The sequence below is a fragment of the Homo sapiens genome, chromosome 3 (genome assembly GCF_000001405.40).
Source record: "Homo sapiens chromosome 3, GRCh38.p14 Primary Assembly".
Lineage (NCBI taxonomy): Eukaryota > Metazoa > Chordata > Mammalia > Primates > Hominidae > Homo > Homo sapiens.
Genome location: NC_000003.12, coordinates 46,068,864 through 46,090,509, shown reverse-complemented (window position 1 = coordinate 46,090,509; position 21,646 = coordinate 46,068,864). Strand labels below are relative to the sequence as shown.

At 40.2% G+C, this 21,646-nt stretch overlaps 1 protein-coding gene across 2 annotated transcripts in view, besides 2 other annotated features; it reads left to right on the top strand.

The window, feature by feature from the left end:
* Window positions 962-1,011: an enhancer, noted in NCBI's record as "active region_19790". NCBI's record gives its function as "activates an Ori minimal core promoter by ATAC-STARR-seq in GM12878 lymphoblastoid cells {active_cell/tissue: GM12878}" and the evidence as "EXISTENCE:reporter gene assay evidence [ECO:0000049][PMID:35858748]".
* XCR1 (X-C motif chemokine receptor 1) overlaps window positions 4,666-21,646 on the top strand; it is a 68,838-nt gene continuing 51,857 nt past the window's right edge. Inside the window, exons 1-2 of one of the 2 annotated variants that reach the window (NR_170111.1) lie at window positions 4,666-4,716; window positions 15,795-15,859. The gene's annotated coding sequence lies outside the window, so the exon portion shown is untranslated. The remainder of the gene's footprint in view (window positions 4,717-15,794; window positions 15,860-21,646) is intronic. The other variant, NM_001381860.1, reaches the window with a different exon arrangement.
* Window positions 20,705-20,874: an enhancer, noted in NCBI's record as "experimental_70191 CRE fragment used in MPRA reporter constructs". NCBI's record gives its function as "activates a minimal promoter by MPRAs in K562 erythroleukemia cells, with activity observed for both the introgressed and non-introgressed 3:46111213 variant alleles {active_cell/tissue: K562}" and the evidence as "EXISTENCE:reporter gene assay evidence [ECO:0000049][PMID:34662402]".

Here is a 21,646-nt window from a genome sequence, read left to right as displayed (position 1 = left end):
CTCTTCACAGATGCATCCTCTGGGTGCTGATTTTCCTTGCTGTGGGTGTGCAAACCAAACCTCTCAATGGTTCTGTAAGATGGGCAGGGCAGATATTAATAACTCCATTGTGCTAGCCAGCCTCAGACGGCCCACAGTCGTTTGCACCATCCTTGAATAGCATTGACTTTTGTGACTAATAGGGTAGTGTAGAAATGACAGAACTTGACTTCAAAGGTTAGTCATAAAAGACAGTGTGAATTCTGTCTTGCTGTCTTAGATCGCTCACTCTGGAGGAAGCCAGGTACCTTGTCAAAGGAACTCCATACCTGAAAGACCCTAAGCTGAAACCACCCTGTGTAGTCACTCCCAAATTCCTGACCCACAGAAACTGTATAAGAAATGTTTATTGTTTAAGCCACGAAGTCTTGATTTGTTTATATAGCAAAGTATAACTAACATTAATATACCTATTACATAAATTAGAAATGAAGTCTCAGAGACATATAGCAACTAGCTCAAAGCCACACAGCTAGAGCTGCGGAAGAAGTGGGAAGAGAGCCTTCACCTTGTGACTGCTGATCCACACAACATGGGTTTCCTCATAGCCCCATGAGTCTGCACTTCTCTGATTTGGCTTCAGAAGGAGAGATGAGACTGCAGGCATGGGGCAGTGGTTGCCCAAGCAACCCTGGCACACTCAGGCCTGGGCCAACACAGCCCCTCTCACAGGAAACAGAGTCAGGGACGGGGGTAGATACTCTTGGCTCCCACTTGCTTGGGTTCTCTACCACCCAGAGAAACAATTCATGGAGACCTCTTAGGCCCATACATGCACATGCATCTTGGGCCTCCACTCGTGCTATACATGGAACTACCACTGGCCCACAGTGCTGCAACTCTTCCGGGCTGTGGTGGAAGCCTGTGATGCAGGGGCTTCTGCTCAGGGTCCCTGACTGACTGCAAGTCAGGGTCAGCCCTTGCTTTCCAGCACCCCACACTGCTGATTCATGGGGCTACTTTAGAGAAGTTGCCCCACCAAAGGGAGCTTTCAGTTCCCATGTGAGTCACTGGCCATGTGGATACCAGTCACCCATGCACAAGAGAGGCCTGGGCTATGTGAGTGCTCAGCAGTGAGCTGAGTGTTGTGGTCATGGGGTCAGCGAGTGACAAAGCCAAGCTGTCTCTGTTTTCTCATCCTTCCAACTAGATTGGACTTATTCCAGCAAGAGTTACTATGGTCCTGGGAGCAGGACTGGGATTGGGCAAGTCAAAAGGGTAGTTTAAGACAAGAGGGCAAGAAGGGCGGAGCAGTCACTGCTTGTCTCCAGGGTCTCCAGCCAAGACAGACTTGAGATGGTGAAGCTTTCTGATGAAGGACCTCAAAGGCCCAGCAGAGTGGCTTGTGCCTACATCCTCACATGGTATCCAAGCACCTCCAGGATAGGAGAGAAAAAAACAAACAGGGCATAGAACATCTGGGTTTTCATGTAAATTCAACATTCTACCACTTCGATAGCCATGAACAAGTTGTTGGCCAATTCCAGCCTCAGTTTCCTCATGAGTCAAATCAACCTAATGGTTTTCAGCCTGGGTTCCTTGGAGCCTTAGGGTTCTTCAGAGTTACCTTGGAGTTTGCCATGAGGAGGCATCCCCTACACCAGTGCTGTCCAATAGAAATATAAAGTGAGTCACATATGCAATTTTCAATTTCTGTTAGGCCTGGCGCGGTGGCTCACGCCTGTAATCCCAACACTTTGGGAGGCCGAGGGGGAGCGGATCACGAGGTCAGGAGTTCAAGACCAGCCTGACCAATATGGTAAAACCCCGTCTCTACTAAAGATACAAAAATTAGTTGGGCGTGGTGGCACACACCTGTAATCCCAGCCACTCAGGAGGCTGAAGCAGGAGAATCACTTGAACCCGGGAGACGGAGGCAGAGGTTGCAGTGAACCAAGATCGTGCCATTGCACTCCAGCCTGGGTGACAGAGTGAGCCTCCATCTCAAAAAAAAAAAATTGGTAGCTACATTTTTTTAAATCTAAAAATAAATAGGTAATTAGCCAGGTGTGATGGTGGGCATCTGGAGTCCAAGCTACTCAGGAGGCTGAGGTGGGAGGATTGCTAAAGCTCATGAGTTTGAGGCTGCAGTGAGCCAGATCATGCCACTGCACTCTAGCCTGGGTGACAGAGTAAGACCGAGTTGGTAATAAGTAAATAAATAAATGTGAAATTAATTTTAATATTATCTTTTATTTATTGAATAGATCTAAAATATCATTTCAACATGTAATCAACTGATTGCATGTATTAATAAGATGTTTTACATTCTCTTTATTGTACTAAGTCTTCAATATCTGGCGTATGGTTTGTATGTAAGCACACCTCAATTCAGACCAACCACATTTCCACAGCGCAGTGGCTGCTAGGCTGTGAAGCAGGAGGAGGAATTGTCTTTAAGAAGAGAAGACCTCTCTCTAGTGGACAAAACAGAAAAATACGAGAGACCAATGTATTAAATGAGCAGAACACTGGAAAGCACAGGCATATTTGGGGGAGCAAAGGGGTCAGTTCAGCTAGAGTGTGATTGGGAGAGTGATGGAGAAAGGAGGGAGTGTGAGAGAAAAAACCATGAGACCACTGGGCCTCTCCTGAACCCTGTGTTTTTCATGACATCGGTTTCTCTGAAAAGTGCCTTTGGATTGTGAACTATCACACAAAAGAGTTCTGTCTTTATAGCTGAGACTTAGTGAGGCATAGGGGATACAATGAAAGTAGAACATGACGTAATAGCTTAAAGCATAGACCATAGAACCCAACAGCCTGGGTTCTAGTCCTCACTCTGCCTCTTGTTGGCTGGGATAAATAGACACAGTTTCCGCATCTATTAAATGGGCATATGGCCATCAATAGTTCTTCCCATCCCTCTACATGCATGCCTGCTGTCTTCCCATCAAGATCTGGAGTTTACTTCCCTTCCTTTGAATCTAGGGTTACCTTGTGATTAACTTGGACAAATACAATGTGGCAGAAGTGATGCTGGTGGTCTCTAGGAAGCCAGCTGCTGACTGTAAAGCTTGGGCTAGACAAGCAAATGATGAGAAACCACATGAAGAAAAAAAGTCCACATGGAGGAACCTGAAGCACTAGACATGACTGAATTCTTCCTGAACCTTCAAGCTGAGCCACGGAAGAAACGAACAGAAGAACTACCTAGCTGAACCTCACCTGAAATTCCAGACCAAAGAATCATGAGAAATCATACATTGTTATTGTTTTAATCCACTAAGTTTTGAGTGGTTCTTTAGATACTAATAGATAACTGAAACAAATACGATATTTGCAATACTTATCTCATAGAGCTGTGTCAAGATCAAGTGAGATAAGGCATGTACCATGCAGTGCCTACGATAAACACTCAAAAATTGTAAATATTATTGTAATAGTAGTCATATGAGTACGGTCCATGATAACTATTGTCATTTTGATATTAGGACATGCCTAAGTAACATAAGCCAGACTCACCTACCAGTACTTTTGAAAATGAAAAGCTATTTCTTTGAGTGATCATTTGGTTCCAAAAATATCTTAAGCTGAAGTGTGGGCACTGGAAGTAGGAGGCAGATGTGGCCGTCCAGACATCAAGAATGTGCTCATAAAATAACGTATTTTTTAAGTTATCAAATGACAACAGATAATTAAAAATTCTCCCAGATGACTTGAGGACTACACAGAATACAATCCCATTTTAGGAAACACTGCTGCGCATGCCAGGGAGACACTGGGGACTTCAGGCAGGAGCAACATGACAAGACATTGCATGCTCCAGGCCAGCATGTGCAGAATGGGCGGGTGTGGGAGGATGGTGGAGGATCAGAGGATGAGAAGGGGAGTGGCACAGGAGGAGAAGAAGGCACAGGGGAAGATTTGAGTTCAGTTTGGTGTTAGTTGAGTCTGGGGTGGTGCTATCCTTGTGTCTTGGGTTGGATTTCTGAAATCAGAGCCTAAGAAAGAGATTCTTGTGCAAAGTAAGGCATGGAGAAGGGCTCTCAGGAGAAATGTGTAGGAGCGAGGGAAGCAGGATAAAGCAGAGGACAGGGTGGGCAGAAGTCTGGCCTCAGCCTGGCCACGCCCAGGGCTGGAGTAAGGTGAGGCACTGCAGAGGTGTCCCTCGCTACGACAGGTGGCTGAGCTTCTGTGGCCCAGCATCAGTCAGCCGCTAGTCATGGGCAGCTGGGAGGAGTATGAGAAAGCTCCAGAACCTCTAAGCAAGGCAGCACCCATCAGCTATGGTAGTGAGTCCCAAACATGTCTGTCTAAGGGCAACTCTTGGGCTTCAGAAATGCTGATGTCAGATCCCAACCTCAGAGATTGTGATTTCCTTGGCCTGTGGTGGGGCCTGGCTTTGGACATTTTAATATATCCCCAGGTGACTGGAATGTGCAGACGGGCTTGAGCCATCCTCCAGAGAAGAGTGCAGGTATGAGAAGTTAGCAGCCAGGACTCTTAGCACCTAAGGCATGGGTGCACCAGCAGGTAGAGGCATGGGAGAGCATTACAGTAACTGCTATGTCACAAGACATCACACTGCTCAGACTCTGTTGTGCCCAAGAATCTGCTGGGTCAGGGGAGTGTCCTACTAAAATGCAGAGTCTGATTCAGCATGTCTGGGTTGGGCCCAGAACTGCATTTCTAACAAGCTCCCAGATGCTGCTGTCACACCAAGGACTACACCAAGTAAGGAGGCCCTACACCAAGGTTGACCACTGTAGATCTGTAGCTCAAGAGGGAGGTTTGGACTGAATGTATGGGGTTGGGGGTGCCGGCATTATGCATGATTGTTGAGACATGGAAGTGAGTGGGAGTATTGGGGAACAGTGCACAGGCAGATCAGTGAGCCAGGCCAAGGCCAGACTCCTGACCTTGGGAGTGAAAACTGATGGCAGGCTTGCTGCTGGAAGGAGAGTGAACGTGGCCTATTCTTTCAAGAAATTTGCTGTGAAGGGGAGGGGCAGACAGGATGGAGTGCAAACTCAAAGTGTTTAAAATGGAGAAAAAAATACTTGGACCACAATACAGGCTGCAGAACAATTGTCATGATAAGATCGAAAGCATCAGAGGAATTCAAGAGGCTGGTTAGGAATAAAGACTGAAGCCAGCTTTGATGCTCCCTGGCTGCATGACTTTGGCCAAGTTACTTGCCTCCTTGTGCCTCAGTTCCCTAATCTGTATAGATGTAGATCACATTAGTACCTGCCTCTTGTGTTCGCGGTGTGATGAGTTGTGTTTGCGGTGATGGAACCTTTTTTTTTTTTTTTTAATAATATATGTCAAATGCTTAGAGCAGACATAGGCTGCTCCATGTATTAGCTATCATGATTACAGGAACTCCTTAAGAGGGGCAAGGTTTTCTGCAAGTGCTGTCCACCTAAAATGAAGAAGCTGAGCACAAAATGTAATTTTAAAGACTTTACTTGAGCCAATGTGAGGCCAGCTGCCCAGGACACCCTTCCAAGTTGCCTTGGGGAGTACTCCATCCAGCTTTTGTTGCATTCAGGCTTTAAAAAAAAAATCCAACTTTTATTTTAGATTCGGGAGGTACCATATGCACATTTGTTACATGGGTATATTGCAAGATGCTGAGGTTTGGGGTATGACTGATGCCATCGCCCAGGTAGTGAGCATAGTACCCAATAAGATAGTTGTTCAATTCTTACCCCACTCCTTTCTTCCACCCTCTAGTAGCCCCCAGTGTCTACGGTTTCCGTCTTTATGTCTTTGTGTGCCCAGTGTTTAGCTCTTGCTTATAAGCGTGTACATTCAGTATTTGGTTTTCTTTTCCTGCATTAATTCGCCTAGGATAATGGCCTCCAGCTACATCTGTACAAGTGGATTTTTAAAGACAAAAAGAAAGCAAGGAGTGAGCTGATAAAAAGTTGGCAGGAATTCTCATTGGTTTATAGAAATTACATTGATTAGGGATTGGCTTTACATTGTTGAGCTGGAGGATATGAGTTATGGCGTCCAGTGCATGGCATTTTATAGCTACTTGGCATCAGTTAGTCTAGAGTCCACATAGCAAGTGGCTTCAAGAGGTAATTACTTAGCTCAAGGGAGGCATGAGATGTGATAGCTTTTCATTCCAATGCTTTTCTGGGACTGATAATTTAAAAGGGCTCACATTCCTATGATTAAAAGTTTCCTTTTGCTCTCATTTCCTTCCTTTTGATCACAAATTTTTCTCCTCAAAAGCACTGATGATACAAATCTGAGTGCCAGCTTGTCCCTTGTCACCAGGAAGGCTCATTCCTGGGTAGCCCTGTCCCACATGGGGGAGTGGAGACATCTCAGTGAGGAATTTTAAGAGCACCAAAAAGCTGAATCAGGATGACAATACAGAATGGCAAAAGTGAGTCCACAAAGTATTGACTTACATAGCTGCTGTTGTTTGCTCCATCATCGCCAGTCTCTGGAATACCATGATTTTCATTTTCTCAGAAGAAATAAAACAATGAAAGATATCTAGCATTAATTGGAATAATAGAAATATATAATGCACATAGGATTAGAACCAAAAAGAGAATTTTTATGCCAGAATGAAAAAGGAATCTAGTCTGTTAAGAGTCAACTAAAAACCTCCTGAAGAAAATTAAATCTCAGTTTTTCTTTAGAGACCTGTAGTCAAGCAGCTTCTTCCCTGATTTTTCCTAGGTGAGTTTCTACTTCATGGGAAATACTTATGTATATACAACAAGAGGTATTTGCCACCACATATCCACCTCCTTGCTCAGCTAATATAGAATCTAAAGCAATGTGATTGTCTAGCACAACCTTAGTCAGTAAATCTGTAGCTTTTTGTTGAGCTGTGATGGAGACAGCAGTTTCATCAGCAATGTTTCCTAGGGTTTTAGAAGGATTTTAGATCATGTGTTCATGGGAAGTTACATCCAACAAAGGCAAAAGTATTCTCAAAGAAAAAAAAATGCATGGAGCTATCTTCTTGATGGCCAGCCAGATAATTAGCACATTTTCTCTAAATAGAATCTCCATCTAAGGTAGATCTGCAGTCATGCCTAGAGAAAAGTTTGAGGGAACTAGTCCAGTGCTGAGTTTCTTCAGAGCTGTATATAGAGAGAAGGGTAACGAAATATCCTAAGACATATTGCCCTTCAACATTCCATGCTCTTAGACACTTACAGGACCATGGCTGGTGATTTTCTCCACAGACTATAATAAATCCTGGTGGAGCACAGATAAGTACACTATAATTTAAGAACATCAGTTTTGAGGCATTACTGGATCAATGGGTCAGAAATGTTAAAGCAAGAAGACAGGATCCTGATAGCTGGAGGGGCTGTTTTCTTTGGATTTTCTAACAACATCATGGATTTTAGTACTGTCATTAGTGAGTAACGCAGCAGTGATTTTTGACAAAAGAATTCTGATGAGTTACATTGAAACATAGGACAAACAGGTTAGGATGAGTCAGGCAGACCTGATTAACAGGTTTGCTTTTATGTGGCCCTGAGTTGTGTTACAAGTGCTATCATGAACACTGGTGAAATTTAGGGCAGAATGTACCAGTGGGTCATTGTGGTCAAAAGTAGTTTTTGGTTTAGGGTAGCAAACCCAGCATCTCTTCAGATTTCCAGCAGTGGCAATGGTGTGTGGGATTCTGATCAGAGAATTATCCCTCCATGCTACAGTCAAATTTATCAGGGACGGCAAAAACAGAAACCTAGGCCAGGTGCAGTGGCTAATGCCTGTAATCCCAGCACTTTGAGAGGCCGAGGTGGGAGAATTACTTAAGGCCAGGAGTTTGAGACCAGTGTGGTCAACATAGCAAGACCCTTCTCTACAATTTTTTTTTTAATTAGCTGGGTGTGGTGGTGCACTTCTGTTGCCCCAGCTACTCGGGAAGCTGAGTCGGGAGGATTGCTTGAGCCCAGGAGTTGGAGGCCGCAGTGAGTTATGATCATGTTACTACATTCCAGCATGGGCAACAGAGCAAAACCCCATCTCTAAAAAAAGGAAAAAAAAAAAAAAAAAAAAAAGGAGCCTGATTATAGGCATTTGTTTACATATATCCTAAGAGAATATATGTGTGTGTGTGTGTGTGTGTATGCATGTATATATGCACATATAAATATATATATGATGATTTTACCAAAACAATTTTATCCAAGAGAGGATACTCACAGTATGGAGGCCTAACGCCATAAGTATTCCAGTCAATAGAAAAAGGAGAGCAAATATTTCAGGTGTGGTAGGCATTAGAATCATGAAGAACAAGTTATACAGGCTTGGTCTGGTATCTTGGGTGAAAACAGGTGACCACAAATGTCAGCTACTTTCCATTCTGGTCAGGAAGACTGCAAGTCAATTCCACTAAGATCTCCCATGATGAAAGACGTCCCCTCAGGTAGGGTTGTCTTTTTAAAATGAGAAATATGAATCTATGCATCAATGCCTTTAAGTTTAGTGGCACAGGGATTGGCCAATAGTACCTGATATGGTCCCTTCCCACTGGGTGAGAAGGAATCTTTTATTCGACATCCTTTCCAGTAATCAAAATCTCCACATATTCTCACTTGTAAGTGGGAGCTAAACATTGGGTACACACGAACATAAAGACGGAAACAAGAGACACAGGGAACTATGAGAAGGGAAAGGAAGGCAGGGAGGCAAGTGCTGAAAAACTAACTATTGGGTACTATGCTCACTACCTGAATGACGGGTTCAACCACACCCCAACCTCGGCATCACACAATATGCCCTTATAACAAAGCTGCATGTGTATCCCCAAATCTAGAATAAGATTTTTAAAAAAAAAAAAGAAAAAAAGAAAAGGAATAGTTGCAAATCACTCTAGTGGGAAATTCACAAAGGGCAAAAATGCTTGCAATGCCAAAACTACTTCACTGGTCTGTCAAATATTAGACATCAGAGACCTTTAAAAAGAAAAAAGAAATCTCCAGTTACAGGCCATGATTTTTGATGATTTCATCTCCCCAGAGCTCTCTGCAGAAGGAACTCTTGATTAATTTTGAGTTCTTAATAAGAAGTATTCTGAGACTGTGGCAGTAATGGAGGATATCACCTTTAAGAAATGCAAGTTCATAAGTTCCTTCATCTAGTCACGTGGGCCTTCCTGTTATTATTTTGAAGAGAGAGAGCTGGTGTTTTCCAAATGGTGTGGATCACAGGCTGAGCAGAACTAATGAGACAGCCTTTGGCCAGGAGAGGTTAAAAACTTCAATTAGTTTGGCCATTGAGTTTTTATTATACCATTGGTGTGTTTCACCAGTCCAGAGGATTGGGGGTTAAAAGCACAATTGGAATATAGGCCAAATGTTGCAAATGGATTGAATTACTTGACCAGTAAAATGTGTTTCTTGGCCGTTCTGGAGCTCAGATGAAACTCCCCATGAAGGAATTATCTTTTCTAATAACAATTTTCTTACTACTTGGACCATGGCTCATTGGCACGGGCAGGTTTCATCCCAATGAGAAAACACATAAATTAGCACCAGAACATATCTATAACCCTGAGACAGGGGCAGCTGGATAAAGTCCAATTGCCATATATCAAAGGGTCCTAAAGGTAAAGGAAAATGTCCCTGTAACCTATGAAGGAGTTTTCCAGGATTATGTTTGGGACAAACCATCAGCAAGAATAAACAAGAGGGGATGGTTTCCAATAATATTGCTTTCCCCAAGCTGTCGTTTCATCTGGATTCCAATGAGTCAGCTCATAAACACATCATTTAAAGGGTAATTGAAGCCCTAAGGGAAAGATTGGTCTATCATTAAGTCCACATCATAAGCCTGTTTCTGGGGAAAACTTGGTTCCTTTATCTTTCCTGAGGTCGATTTCCTTCTTGAGAGCTCCTGTTTGTGCTGCTTCTAATAAAGTTCTTGTTTGTTTGTTTGGCAGGGGGGCTGGGGTTTTTTGTTGTTTTTGTTTTTGAGACAGGGTCTCGCTTTGTCACTCAGGCTGGAGTGCAGTGGCACAATCTCAGCTCACTGCAACCTCCGCCTCCCTAGTTCAAAAGATTCTCATGCCTCAGCCTCCCAAGTAGCTGGGATTACAGATGTGAGCCACCATGCTTGGCCAAAGTTTTAAATGGGTAATAAGTCTGTAAGGACATTTCAAGGTATCTATTGTCTGATGTAACCTTCAGGACTGCATTCTTAGCGGCATTGTCAGTGAAATGATTGCCTTTGCTCTCTGGAGTATCTAATTTGGCATGACCAGGAATTTTTATATTTTTATGAGATTTCAGTTGGGGACTGCTTCCAAGAGGTTGGAGACTTGTTGGCTTTTTTTTTCTTTTTTTTTTTTTGAGACAAGGACTTGTTCTGTTGCCCAGGCCAGAGTACAGTGGCACGATTATAGGTGATCTTGGAGGCTAGCATCAGGCATTCCATTCCAGAATATTGTTAAAAGGTTTTTTTTTTAACTGTTCAAAATAATTAAGCACAAATTCATCTGGCCTTTGAGTATATTGTTGAATTATCTTCCACTCTACATTTGAGGAAAGACCCAGGAAATGGCATCACAGAGAGACTTGGCTAAAGTGTGGATCTTCTCATGGTCAGCTTCTGTTTGTTTTTCCAAATCCTCTGAGGGATTTTTCCAGATTGCCTTTTTTGCCATTCAGTGGCCCTGCCTTCTCATACCAGCATGTGAACTAATTGATAAAGGTCAGAATATCTGGGCTTATAAGTCTGGACAATTAAAGCAGATTGTTCTGCAAACCCTATGGGATCTTGGAGCAGGTCAGGGAAGTCTTTTATAATATTCTTCAGTTCAGTTTTTGTCCAAGGGGTATACATAATAGTGGTCTCACCTCTTGCTGTGGTTTTACCTGAAAAGGGGCTGCCAAAATGGGGTTTCAGGGAGGGGGTTCAAGTTCTAGGGAATTTCCTAAGGTGGTAGTGGGAGGGAAGGAAGGGCAGGACAGGGGACTTGAGATAAGAGAGGATATAAAGGTGCAGGGGTAGGATGAGGAGAAACAGCTGGAAGTGGAAGGGAGGAGGGCTTCAAAGTCTTTTTAAATTCAGAAATAGATTTAGGATCTTTTTGTTTACCTCTTGGATTGAGGCAATTTTCTCAGAATTTATCTTAAAAAAACTCTAGGTGCCATTGGAAGTAATTATCCTATTTCATGTTCTAAAACCAGCTTTTTTCTCTATTGTGCACACAAATGAATCATTTTGGGCATTTCAAAAGACCCACATTTTGGCCATTGTTGATGATCATCCTGGGCTATATGGGTCCGTTTTCCTAGATATTTACAAGAGGATGTCTCATAAGTGTTGTACATAAAACCAGATGGTGTTTCTAACAATGGTTGTCCCTTAAAAGAGCGCTCAGATTTTCAAGCTTGATTTCCCGTAACTTAGGAACTTCTTAAAAATGACCAAGGCCCAGGATGTGTTTGGGTGGAAGTGTGGTGCTTACGAGCACTGCTCCTCTAGGTGTCACCCAAAAGTCATGAGTTGCTCTCTTACGTTGTCTCAGAATGCCTCTAACCACCAGGTGGCACCAGAGTGCTAAAGGTATGAGCGATCAGTCCCGTATTTTATGCCCATGCAGATGATCGAGTCCCTAAAAAACGTTCTTGTGGTGAGGAATACCCTACGAGCGTCCTTTATATCCTAGACAACAGCCTTGACACCTCTGCAAAGTCTGCAGAGACTCTGCAAACTCTGCAAAGTCTCCAGTCACCTAGAGCACTCCAATTGGTCAAAGTGAGCAACTGCCCTTTCTCCATAGCAAGAGAACTCACTCTCATGCACTTTTCAGTTTAGAACTAATAGGAATTGGTCACAGATGAAACATCCAAGTCTGAATTTCAAACAATAGGAAGCAGCTGCAATTTTAAAAGCGTGCTATGTAAAGCAAAACCACCAATGTCAAATTGCCAATGCCTGGACCCAGACCTCCCTTCCCCAAGGCAGAGGTGAAAAAACGCTGTTCCCCCTACCCTTTTTCTTTTCTGGAACCCAAATCTCCTGCCCATTAGGCACAGATGGAAAACTCCCATTCTAGTAAGGGAGGATCGGAAAACATAGCTCAGGCAAAATCTAGACCTTCAACCAAAAAATGGGAAAGGCCCAGATCTCAGCAGGACTCATACCTTACATTCAACAATTTCTCTCAAAGTCAGAATACAAGAGGTTCCCAGAGCTGGCCAGGCGCTGAGTCTGGGAGGTAAGTCAGATAGTAGAGCCAAGGGGGTTATTCTGAATCCTTCTCATGGCACCAAAAATGCTGACCCCAAAGGAAGAAGATGAGGCACAAAATATATTCATAATTTTGAAGACTTTACTTGAGCCAACATGAGGCCAGCTGCTCAGGACACACTTCCAAGTTGCTTTGGGGAGTGCCGCATCCAGCCTTTGTTGCGAGCAGGCTTTTTAAAAAATAATTTCAACTTTTATTTTAGATTCAGGGGGTTACATGTGCATGTTTGTTACATGGCTATATTGCATGATGCTGAAGTTTGGGGTACAAATGATGCCATCAGCCAGGTAGCGACCATGGTACCCAATAGGTGGTTTTTCAGTCTTTGCCCCTTTCCTTCTCTCCCCACTCTAATAGTCCCCAATGTGTGTTGTTCCCAGCTTTATGTCCCTGTGTGCCTAATGTTTAGCTCTCACTTATAAGTGAGAACGTGCGGTATTTGGTATTCTGTTCCTGTGTTAATTCACTTAGAATAATTGTCTCCAGCTGCATCCATTCAGGCAGGTTTTTAAAGACAAAAAGTGAGCAAGGAGTGGACTGATACAAAGCTATTTGACAGGAATTCTCATTGGTTTGCAGAAATAACATTGATTAGTGATTGGCTTTATGTTGTTGAGCTACAGCAGTGGTCCCCAAAATTTTGGCACCAGGGACGAGTTTCATGGAAGACAATTTTTCCACAGACCTAGGAGGAGTAGGGGAGATGGTTTGGGGATGAAGCAAGTGCATTACATTTATTGTGCACTTTATTTCTATTATTGTTACATTGTAATATATAATGAAATACATGACTCACCATAATGTAGAATCAGTAAGAGCCCTGAGCTTGTTTTCCTGCAACTAGATGGTCCCATCTGGAGGTGATGGGAGACAGTGGCAGATCATTAGGAATTAGATTTTCGTAAGGAGCATGCAACCTAGGTCCCTCGCATGCACAGTTCACAATAGGGTTTGCACTTCTATGAGAATCTAATACTGCTGCTGATCTGACAGGAGGAGGACCTCCGGTGGTAATACTAGAAATGGGTAGCAGCAGATAAAGTTTTGCTCACTTGCCTGCCCACTGCTTACCTCCTGCTGTGCAGCCTAGTTCCTAACTGGTCTGCGTCCCAGAGGTTGAGGACCCCTGAGCTAGAGGATATGAGTTGTGGCATCCATGATTATGGTATATGGCATTTTATAGCTACGTGGCATCAGTTAGTCCAGAGCCCACAGCAAGTGGCTTCAAGAGGTAACTACTTAGCTCAAGCAGGGACTGAGATGTGACAGCTTTTTACTCCAAAGCCTTTCTGGGCTGGATATATTAAAGGGGTTTGTATTCCTCACATAAAAAGTTTCTTTTCTCTCTCAGTGCTCACACAGGGGTCAGCTTTACCCCAGTGAGATGAAATTCAAGTGCAATCCTTGACTTCTCCTATGGCAAGTCCAAGTATTCTTTCCTCAGAAGTGACAATATTACTTCAATAGAGGGCAGTGGCCCACAGCAAATTTCTCTAGCATCTGGAAAGTGAAACTATCAAGAAGGCCAACCTGATAAGGTCAGTTTGGGACCATTGAGGTATAGCCCCTTGTTTTCTATGCCCCAGCATAGAAACTTTCCTCCTTCCCAGGGAAATATGTGAACTAAACAGGAGCCACAATTCTGTCTTTTAACTTTGCTGCTGCTGATTTCAATGATATCCTATTTTTTTTTTTTTTTTCAAAATAATGGCTACCATTTGTTAAGCTTCTACAAAATGGCAATCATTGACCAACATCACATCTAAAGCACTCAACTCTGCAAGATGAGTGTCTTTCTCATTTTACAGCTGAGGAAGCTGAGGCACAAAATATATTAATAATTTTGAAGACTTTACTTGAGCCAATGTGGGGCCAGCTCAGACAAAATATTCAGCCAAGAAGTAGGAACGGCCCAGATTTCAGCAGGACTCATACCTTACATTCAACAATTTCTCTCAAAGCCAGAAGAATACAAGGGGTTCCCAGAGCTGGCCAAGTGCTGAGTGTGGGTGGTATGTCAGATGGTAGAGACAAGGGTATCTTTCAAATTTGCCTAAATTGTAGGACCACATGGAGTAATTGTTTTGCATACAAAATCCAAGTCTCCCCTGGGCAGTGGTTCTTAATCTTAGCTGCTCATGGAATCACTTGGGGCAGGGTTGGAAGGTGACTGTTAAAAAATCTTGGTGGCCCAGGCCAGCACTATCTATCCTGTTGGCTCTTTTTCCTGGAGAACCCTGACTAACACATATGGTGCGTGCTTGGTTTTTAAGAGGCTGCTATACTCTTTTCAGAGTGGCTATGCCATGTTACATTCCCCAAACTAGATAGCAAAGTATGAGATATCTAGATTTTTCCACATCCTTGTCAGAATTTGGTATTGCCACTATTTTTACTGTTTTAACTATTATGATACATATGTGATAATATCTTATCATGGTCTTAATTTGCCTTTCCCTTGTAGCTAGTGACATTGAATATATTTTCATGTGCTCATTTGCCATTTGAAAAATCCTCTTCCATGAAATGTCTCTTCAAGTCATTTCCTATTTTTTAACTGAATTGGTTGTTTTTTGTTTGTTTGTTTTGTTTTCTTTTTAAATGTTGAATTTTGAGGATTCTATATATATTTTAGACATGAGCTATTTGTCTGATATGTGGTTGGAAAATATTTTCTCCCATTCTGGAGATGGTCTTAACAGGGCCTTTTGCAGGGCAAATGTTTTTCATTTTAATAGTTTATCTATTCTTTCTTTTATGTATTATATTTTTGGTGTTATGTCCAAGAACTCTTCACCAAGATTTAGGTCTCAAAGATTTTCTCTTATGTTTTCTTCTTAAAGTTTTATAGTTTATCCATTACATTTATATCAATGATCCAATTTGAGTTAATTTGTGTATAAGGTCAAAGGTTTAGATTGAGGTTTCTTGGTTTTGATTTTTGTTGTTTTTTTTTTTTTTTTTTTTTTGGTCTATGAGCATCTAGTTGCTCTAGCACTATTTGTTGAAAAGACTATCCTTCCCTCATTGACTTGCTTTGGCACCACTGTCAAAAACCAGTGGGCCATACTTGTGTGGGGCTACTTCTGGGTTTTTTTAACTCTCTTCCATTAATCTTTGTGTCTGTCCCTCTGCCAATATCACATATTACTATAGCTATGAAATAAGTCTTAAAATTGGGTAGAGTGATTCTTCCCATTTCATTCCTTTTCAAAGTGCTAATTATTCTTTAAATATTTGAAATAGTTTCCAGTTAAACTCTCTGGGCCTGGAAATTTTTTTCTTGGGAGATTTTAATTATGAATTCAATGTCCTTAGTAGTTACAGGGCTATTCAAATTATCTGTTTCATAGATGAGTTATAGTAGTCTGTGCTTTTTGAAGAGTGGGTTTATCTCATCTAAGTTGACAAGTTTTATGTGTGTAGAGTTGTTCACAGTACAGTTGATTCTTGAACAACATGGGTTTAAACTGGGAAGGTCCACTTAAATCCAAAATTTCGTCTACCTTTGCCACCCCTGAAACAGTAAGACCAACCCCTCCTCTTCCTCTTCCTCCTTTAGCCTACTCAGTGTGAAGACAATGAGGATGAAAGCCTTTATGATGACCTACTTCCACATAATGAATAGTAAATATATTTTTCTTCCTTATGATTTTTTTTAAAATATAAATTTAAGTGGTACAATTGCATTGTTACATGGATATATTACATAATGATGACGTCTTGGCTTCTAGTGTATCTATCACCCAAATAATGTACATTGTACCCATTAAATAATTTCTCATCCTTCACCCCCCACCACTACCTCCCGTTCTTCTGAGTCTCCAGTGTGTATTACTCCACATTCTATGTCCATGTGTATACATTATTTAGCTCCCACTTATGAAGGAGAACGTGCAGTATTTGACTTTCTGTTTCTGAGTTGTTTTACTTAAGATAATGACCTCTATCACTTGAGCCTTGGGGGTTGAGGCTGCAATGAGTCATGATTGTGCCATTGCACTCTAGCCTGGGCAACAGAAAAGAGACCCTGTCTCAAAAAAAAAAAAAAAAAAAAAAAAAAGATGGCCTTCAGTTCCATTCGTGTTGCTGCTTTATGGCTGAATAATAATTCCATTGCATATATATTGTAAATTGTGCTGTGATAAACATGCATGTGCAAGTTATCTCTGATATAACTATTTTCTTTTCCTTTGGGTAGATACCCAGTAGTGGGGTTGCTGGATTCAATGGTAGTTCTACTTTTAGTTCTTTGAGAAATCTCCATATTATTTTCCAAAGAGGTTGTACTAATTTACATTCCCACCAACAATGTATAAGAGTTCCCTTTTCTTCACATCTTCACCAGTATCTGTTGGGTTTTTTTTTTTTAATTGCCATTCTGATTGGTGTAAGATGGTATCATGTTCTGGTTTTCATCTGCATTTCTCTGATGATTTGTAATAATGAGCATTTTTTCATATGCTTTTTGGTCATTTGTATATCTTCTTTTAAAATGTCTATTCATGTCCTTTGCCCACTTTTTAATGGGGTTATTTGTATTTTGTTGTTGTTGAGTTGTTTGAATTCCTTGTAAATTCTGGATATTAGTCCCCTGTCAGATGCATAAGTCGCAAATATTTTCTCCCATTCTGCAGGCTCTCTGTCCACTCTGTTGTTTATTTCTGTTGTTTTTGTTTTTTGTTTTTTGTTTAAGAATCTCACTCTGTCTCTCAGGATGAAGTACAGTGGCATGATCTCAGCTCACTGCAACCTCCGGCTCTCAGGCTTCAAGCAATTCTCATGCCTCAGCCTCCCAAGTAGCTGGGATTACAGGTGTGTGCCACCATGCCCAGCTAATATTTTAGTAGAGATGGGATTTTGCCATGTTGGCCAAGCTGGTCTGGAACTCCAGGCCTCAAGTGATCTGCCCGCCTCAGCCTCCCAAAGTGTTGGGATTATAGATGTGAACCACTGCACCCAGCATCTGTTATTTATTTCTTTTGGTGTGCAGAAGAGTTTAACTAAGTCCCACTTGTCTATTTTTGTCTTTGTCATATGTACTTTTGAGATATTAGTCATTAATTCTTTGCCTATACCAATGTCTCGTTTTTCCTAGGTTTTCTTCTAGTATTTTTATAGTTTTGAGTCTTATATTTAAGTCTTGAATCTATCTTGAGTTGATTTTTTTATGTGGTGAGAGATATGGTTCCAATTTCATTCTTCTGCATATCGCAATTCAATTTTTCCAGCACCATTTATTGAACAGGGTATCTTTTCCCCAGTGTGTGTTTTTGTCAGCTCTGTCAAAGATCAATTGTCTCTAAATATGTGGTTTTATTTCTGGGTTCTCTATTCTGTCATACTGATCTATATGTCTACCTTTATACTAGTACCATGCTGTTTTGGTTACTATAGCCTTGTAGTATAATTTGAACTCAGATAATGTGATGCCTCCAGCTTTGTTCATTTTGCTTAGGAATACTTTAGCTATTCAGGCTCTTTTTTGGTTGCATACAAATTTTAGAATTTGTTTCTAATTCCAATAAATTATCAACATCATTTTTCTAATGATAGGAATTGCATTGAATCTGTAGATTTCTGTGGGCAGTATGGTCATTTTGACAATATTAATTCTTCTGATCCATGAACATGAGATATTTGTCCTTTTATTTGGGTCATCTATAATTTCTTTCATCAGTGTTTTGCTGCTTTTCTTGTAGAGCTCTTTCACCTCCTTGGTTAAATTTATTTCCAGGATTTTTTGTTTTGTTTTTATTTGTTTTATTTTCACTGAGACAAGGTCCCTCTCAGCCACCCAAGCTGGAGTACATTGGTACGATGTCTGCCTCCCAGACTCAAGCAATCTTCCCACCTCAGCCTCCCAAGTAACTGGGACTCTAGGTGTGCACCACCATGCCCAGCTAATTTTTTGTATTTTTTGTAGAAACAGGATTTCACCATGTTGCCCAGGCTGGTCTCGAACTGCTGGGCTCAAGCGATCTGCCCACCTCAGCCTCCCAAGATGCTGGGATTACAGGCATGAGCCACCATACCCAGCCTAAGGTGGTTTGTTGTTGTTGTTGTTTTAATTTTAGTTATTGTAAATGGGATTGCTGTCTTGATTTGGTTCTCAGCTTGATCATTATTGGTTTATAGAAATGCTACTGATTTTTGTCTGTTGATTTTGTATCCTGAAACTTTACTGAATTCATTTATTAAATCTAAAGGATTTAGTATTTTCTAGATATAAGATCATAACCTCAGCAAGCAGAAATAATTTTACTACCTCTTTTCCAATGTGGATTTTTAAAATTTGTTTCTCTTGCCTCATTCCTCTGGCTAGGACTTCCAGTATTATGTTAAATAGGAGTGGTAAATGTGGACATTCTTGACTTGTTCCAGTTCTTGGAGGGAATGCTTTCAACTTTCCACCGTTCAGTATGAGGTTGGCTATGGGTTTGTCATATATGGGGCTTTATTATTTTATGGTATGTTCCTTCTGTGCCTAGTTTGTTGAGTGTTTTTATCATGAGGTGATGCTGAATTTTATCAGATGGTTTTTCTATATCTATTGAGATGATCATATGGCTTATGTCCTTAGTTCTGTTTATGTGGTGAATCACATGTATTGATTTGCATATGTTGAATCATCCTTGTATCCTTGGAATAAAACCCAGTTGATCATCCTGTATTATCTTTTGGATATGCTCTTGGATTCTATTTGCTAGTATTTTGTTGAGGATTTTTGTATCTATGTTCACGGGGAATGTTGCTCTGTAGTTTTCTTTTCTTCTTGTATCCTTGTCTTTAGTATCAGGGTGATACTGGCTTTGTGGAATGAGTCAGGGTGAATTCCCTCCTCAATTTTTTAGAACAGTATCAGGAAGATTGGTACAGTTCTTCTCTTTACATTTGGCAGACTTCATCTGTGAATCCATCTGGTGCTGGCCTTTTTTTGAAACTTAAAAAAAAGCCACCTGGGCCTGGGATTTTTTGGAATAAAAAATCTGGCAATTTTTTTTATTATCGATGCATTCTCATTACTTGTTATTTGTATGTTCAGAATTTCTATTTCTTCCTTGTTTAATATCAGTAGGCTGTATATTTCCAGGAATTTATCCATTTCCTCTAGGTTTCTAGTTTATGACTATATAGTTGTTCATAATAGTCTCTAATGATCTTTTGTATTTCTGTGGTATCAGTTGCAATGTCTCATTTTCATTTCTGAGTATGTTTATTTGGATCTCCTCTCTTCTTTTGTACAAGAAATGCTCAAAGGAGTACTAAAGATGGAAACAAAAGGTTGGTATTCACCATCATAAAACCACATGAGAATATAAAAACTCACAGGTTTCATAAAACAATTACACAAAGGAGGAAGAGGAAGGAATCAAATGGCAACATGACAGAATACCACCAAACCACAAAGACAACAGACAAAGGAAGAAAAAGCCAAGAATTGATAAAACAACTAGATAACAATTAACAATATGACAGGAACAAAATGTCACATATCAATATTAACCTTGAATGTAAGTGGATTAAATGTTCCACTTACAAGATAAAGACTGACATAATGGATTAAAAAAACAAGATCAAACTGCATGCTGCTTACGAGGAACTCAACTTTTTGGTAGACACATATATACTGAAAGTAAAGGGGTGGAAAAAGATATTCCACACAAACAGAAACCAAAAGGAAGCAGGAGTAGCTATAGTTGTATCAGATAAAACACACCTTAAAAAAACCCAAGGGTCATTATATATAATGATAAAGGGATCAATTCAACAAAAGAATATAACAATCCTAAATATATATGCAGCCAACACCACAGCACTCAGATTAATAAAACAAATATTACTAGATCTAAAGAAAGAGATGGACAATAACACAATAATAGTGAGGGACTTCAGCATCCCACCTACAGCATTAGATAGATCATTGAGACAGAAAATTAACAAAGAAACATTGGACTTAAATTGGACTTTAGACCAAATGGACCTAATAGACATTTACAGAACATTCCACTCAAAACTATAGAATATACCTTCTTCTCATCAGCATATGGAACATTCTCCAAGATAGATCATCTGTGAGGCTGCAAACCAAGTCTCAATGCATTTTTAAAGATCAAAATCATATCAAGTATATTCTCAGATCATAGTGGAATAAAACTAGAAATCAATAACAAGAACTCTGGAAACTATAAAAATACATGAAATTAAGTAACATGCTCCTGAATAATCTTGGGTCAATGATGAAAATTTAAAAATTTTTTGAGATGAATGAAAATGGAAACACAACATACCAAAACCTCTGGGATACAACAAAAGCAGTGCTAAGAGAGAAGTTTATAGCATTAAACTTCTACATCCAAAAAAAAAAATAGATCGCAAATTAACAACCTAACATCACACCTCAAGGAACTAGAAAAAGAAGAAAAAAACAAACCCAAAACTAGCAGAAGAAAAGAAATAAAGATGAGAGCAGAACTAAATGAAATTAAAACAAAAGAAAACAATACAAATTATCAATAGCACAGAAAGTTGGTTATTTGAAAAAATAAAATTAATAAATTGCTAGCTAGACTTACCAAGAGAGGTTATTTTCTTAATATTTTCTTTTCTCTAGCTTACTTTATTGTAAGAATACAGCATGTAATACATATAACATACAAAATATGTATTAATCCACTATTTATGTTATGGTAAAGCTTTGGTCAATAGTAGGCTATTAATAGTTAAGTTTTGGGAGAGTCAAATGTTATATGCAGATTTTCAACTGCATGGAGATAGAGGAGGTTACCATGTCTAACCCCCCCGTACAAGGGTTAGCTGTCAACTGTATTTGATTATTATCCTTTGATGTCTGCAGGGTCTGTAGTGATACTCCCTGTTTCATTCCTGATATTGCTAATTTGTGTCTTTCTTTTTTTATTTGGTGGGTCTTTCTAAAGGTTTATCACTTTTATTGATCTTTTCAAAGAACAATCTTTTTGTGTCATTTCTTTTTTATGTTTTCAGTTTTATTAATTTTGCTCCTTATTTTTTTCCTTTTTTTCTACTTACTTTGGGTTTATTTTGCTCTTCTTTTTGTAGATTCTTGAGATAAGAGCTTAGATTATTTATGTGAGACATTTTCTCTTTTTTAATGTAAGCATTTAGTGATATAAATTGTTTTCTCAGCAATACTTTAGCTGTGTCTCACAAAGTTTGATATTTTGTATTTTCATTTTTATTTCATTCCATGTATATTTTTATTGCCCTTGAGACTTCTTTGACCTTTGGATTATTTAAACATATGATATTCATTTTTCAATAACTCACTTGGTACAGATTTTCAGCATGGTACATTGGTTTAGTATTTTTACTATACTGTTCTTTTCAGCTGTTGATTTCATGCTGGAAGGAAAACCACAACTTTGTTATTGA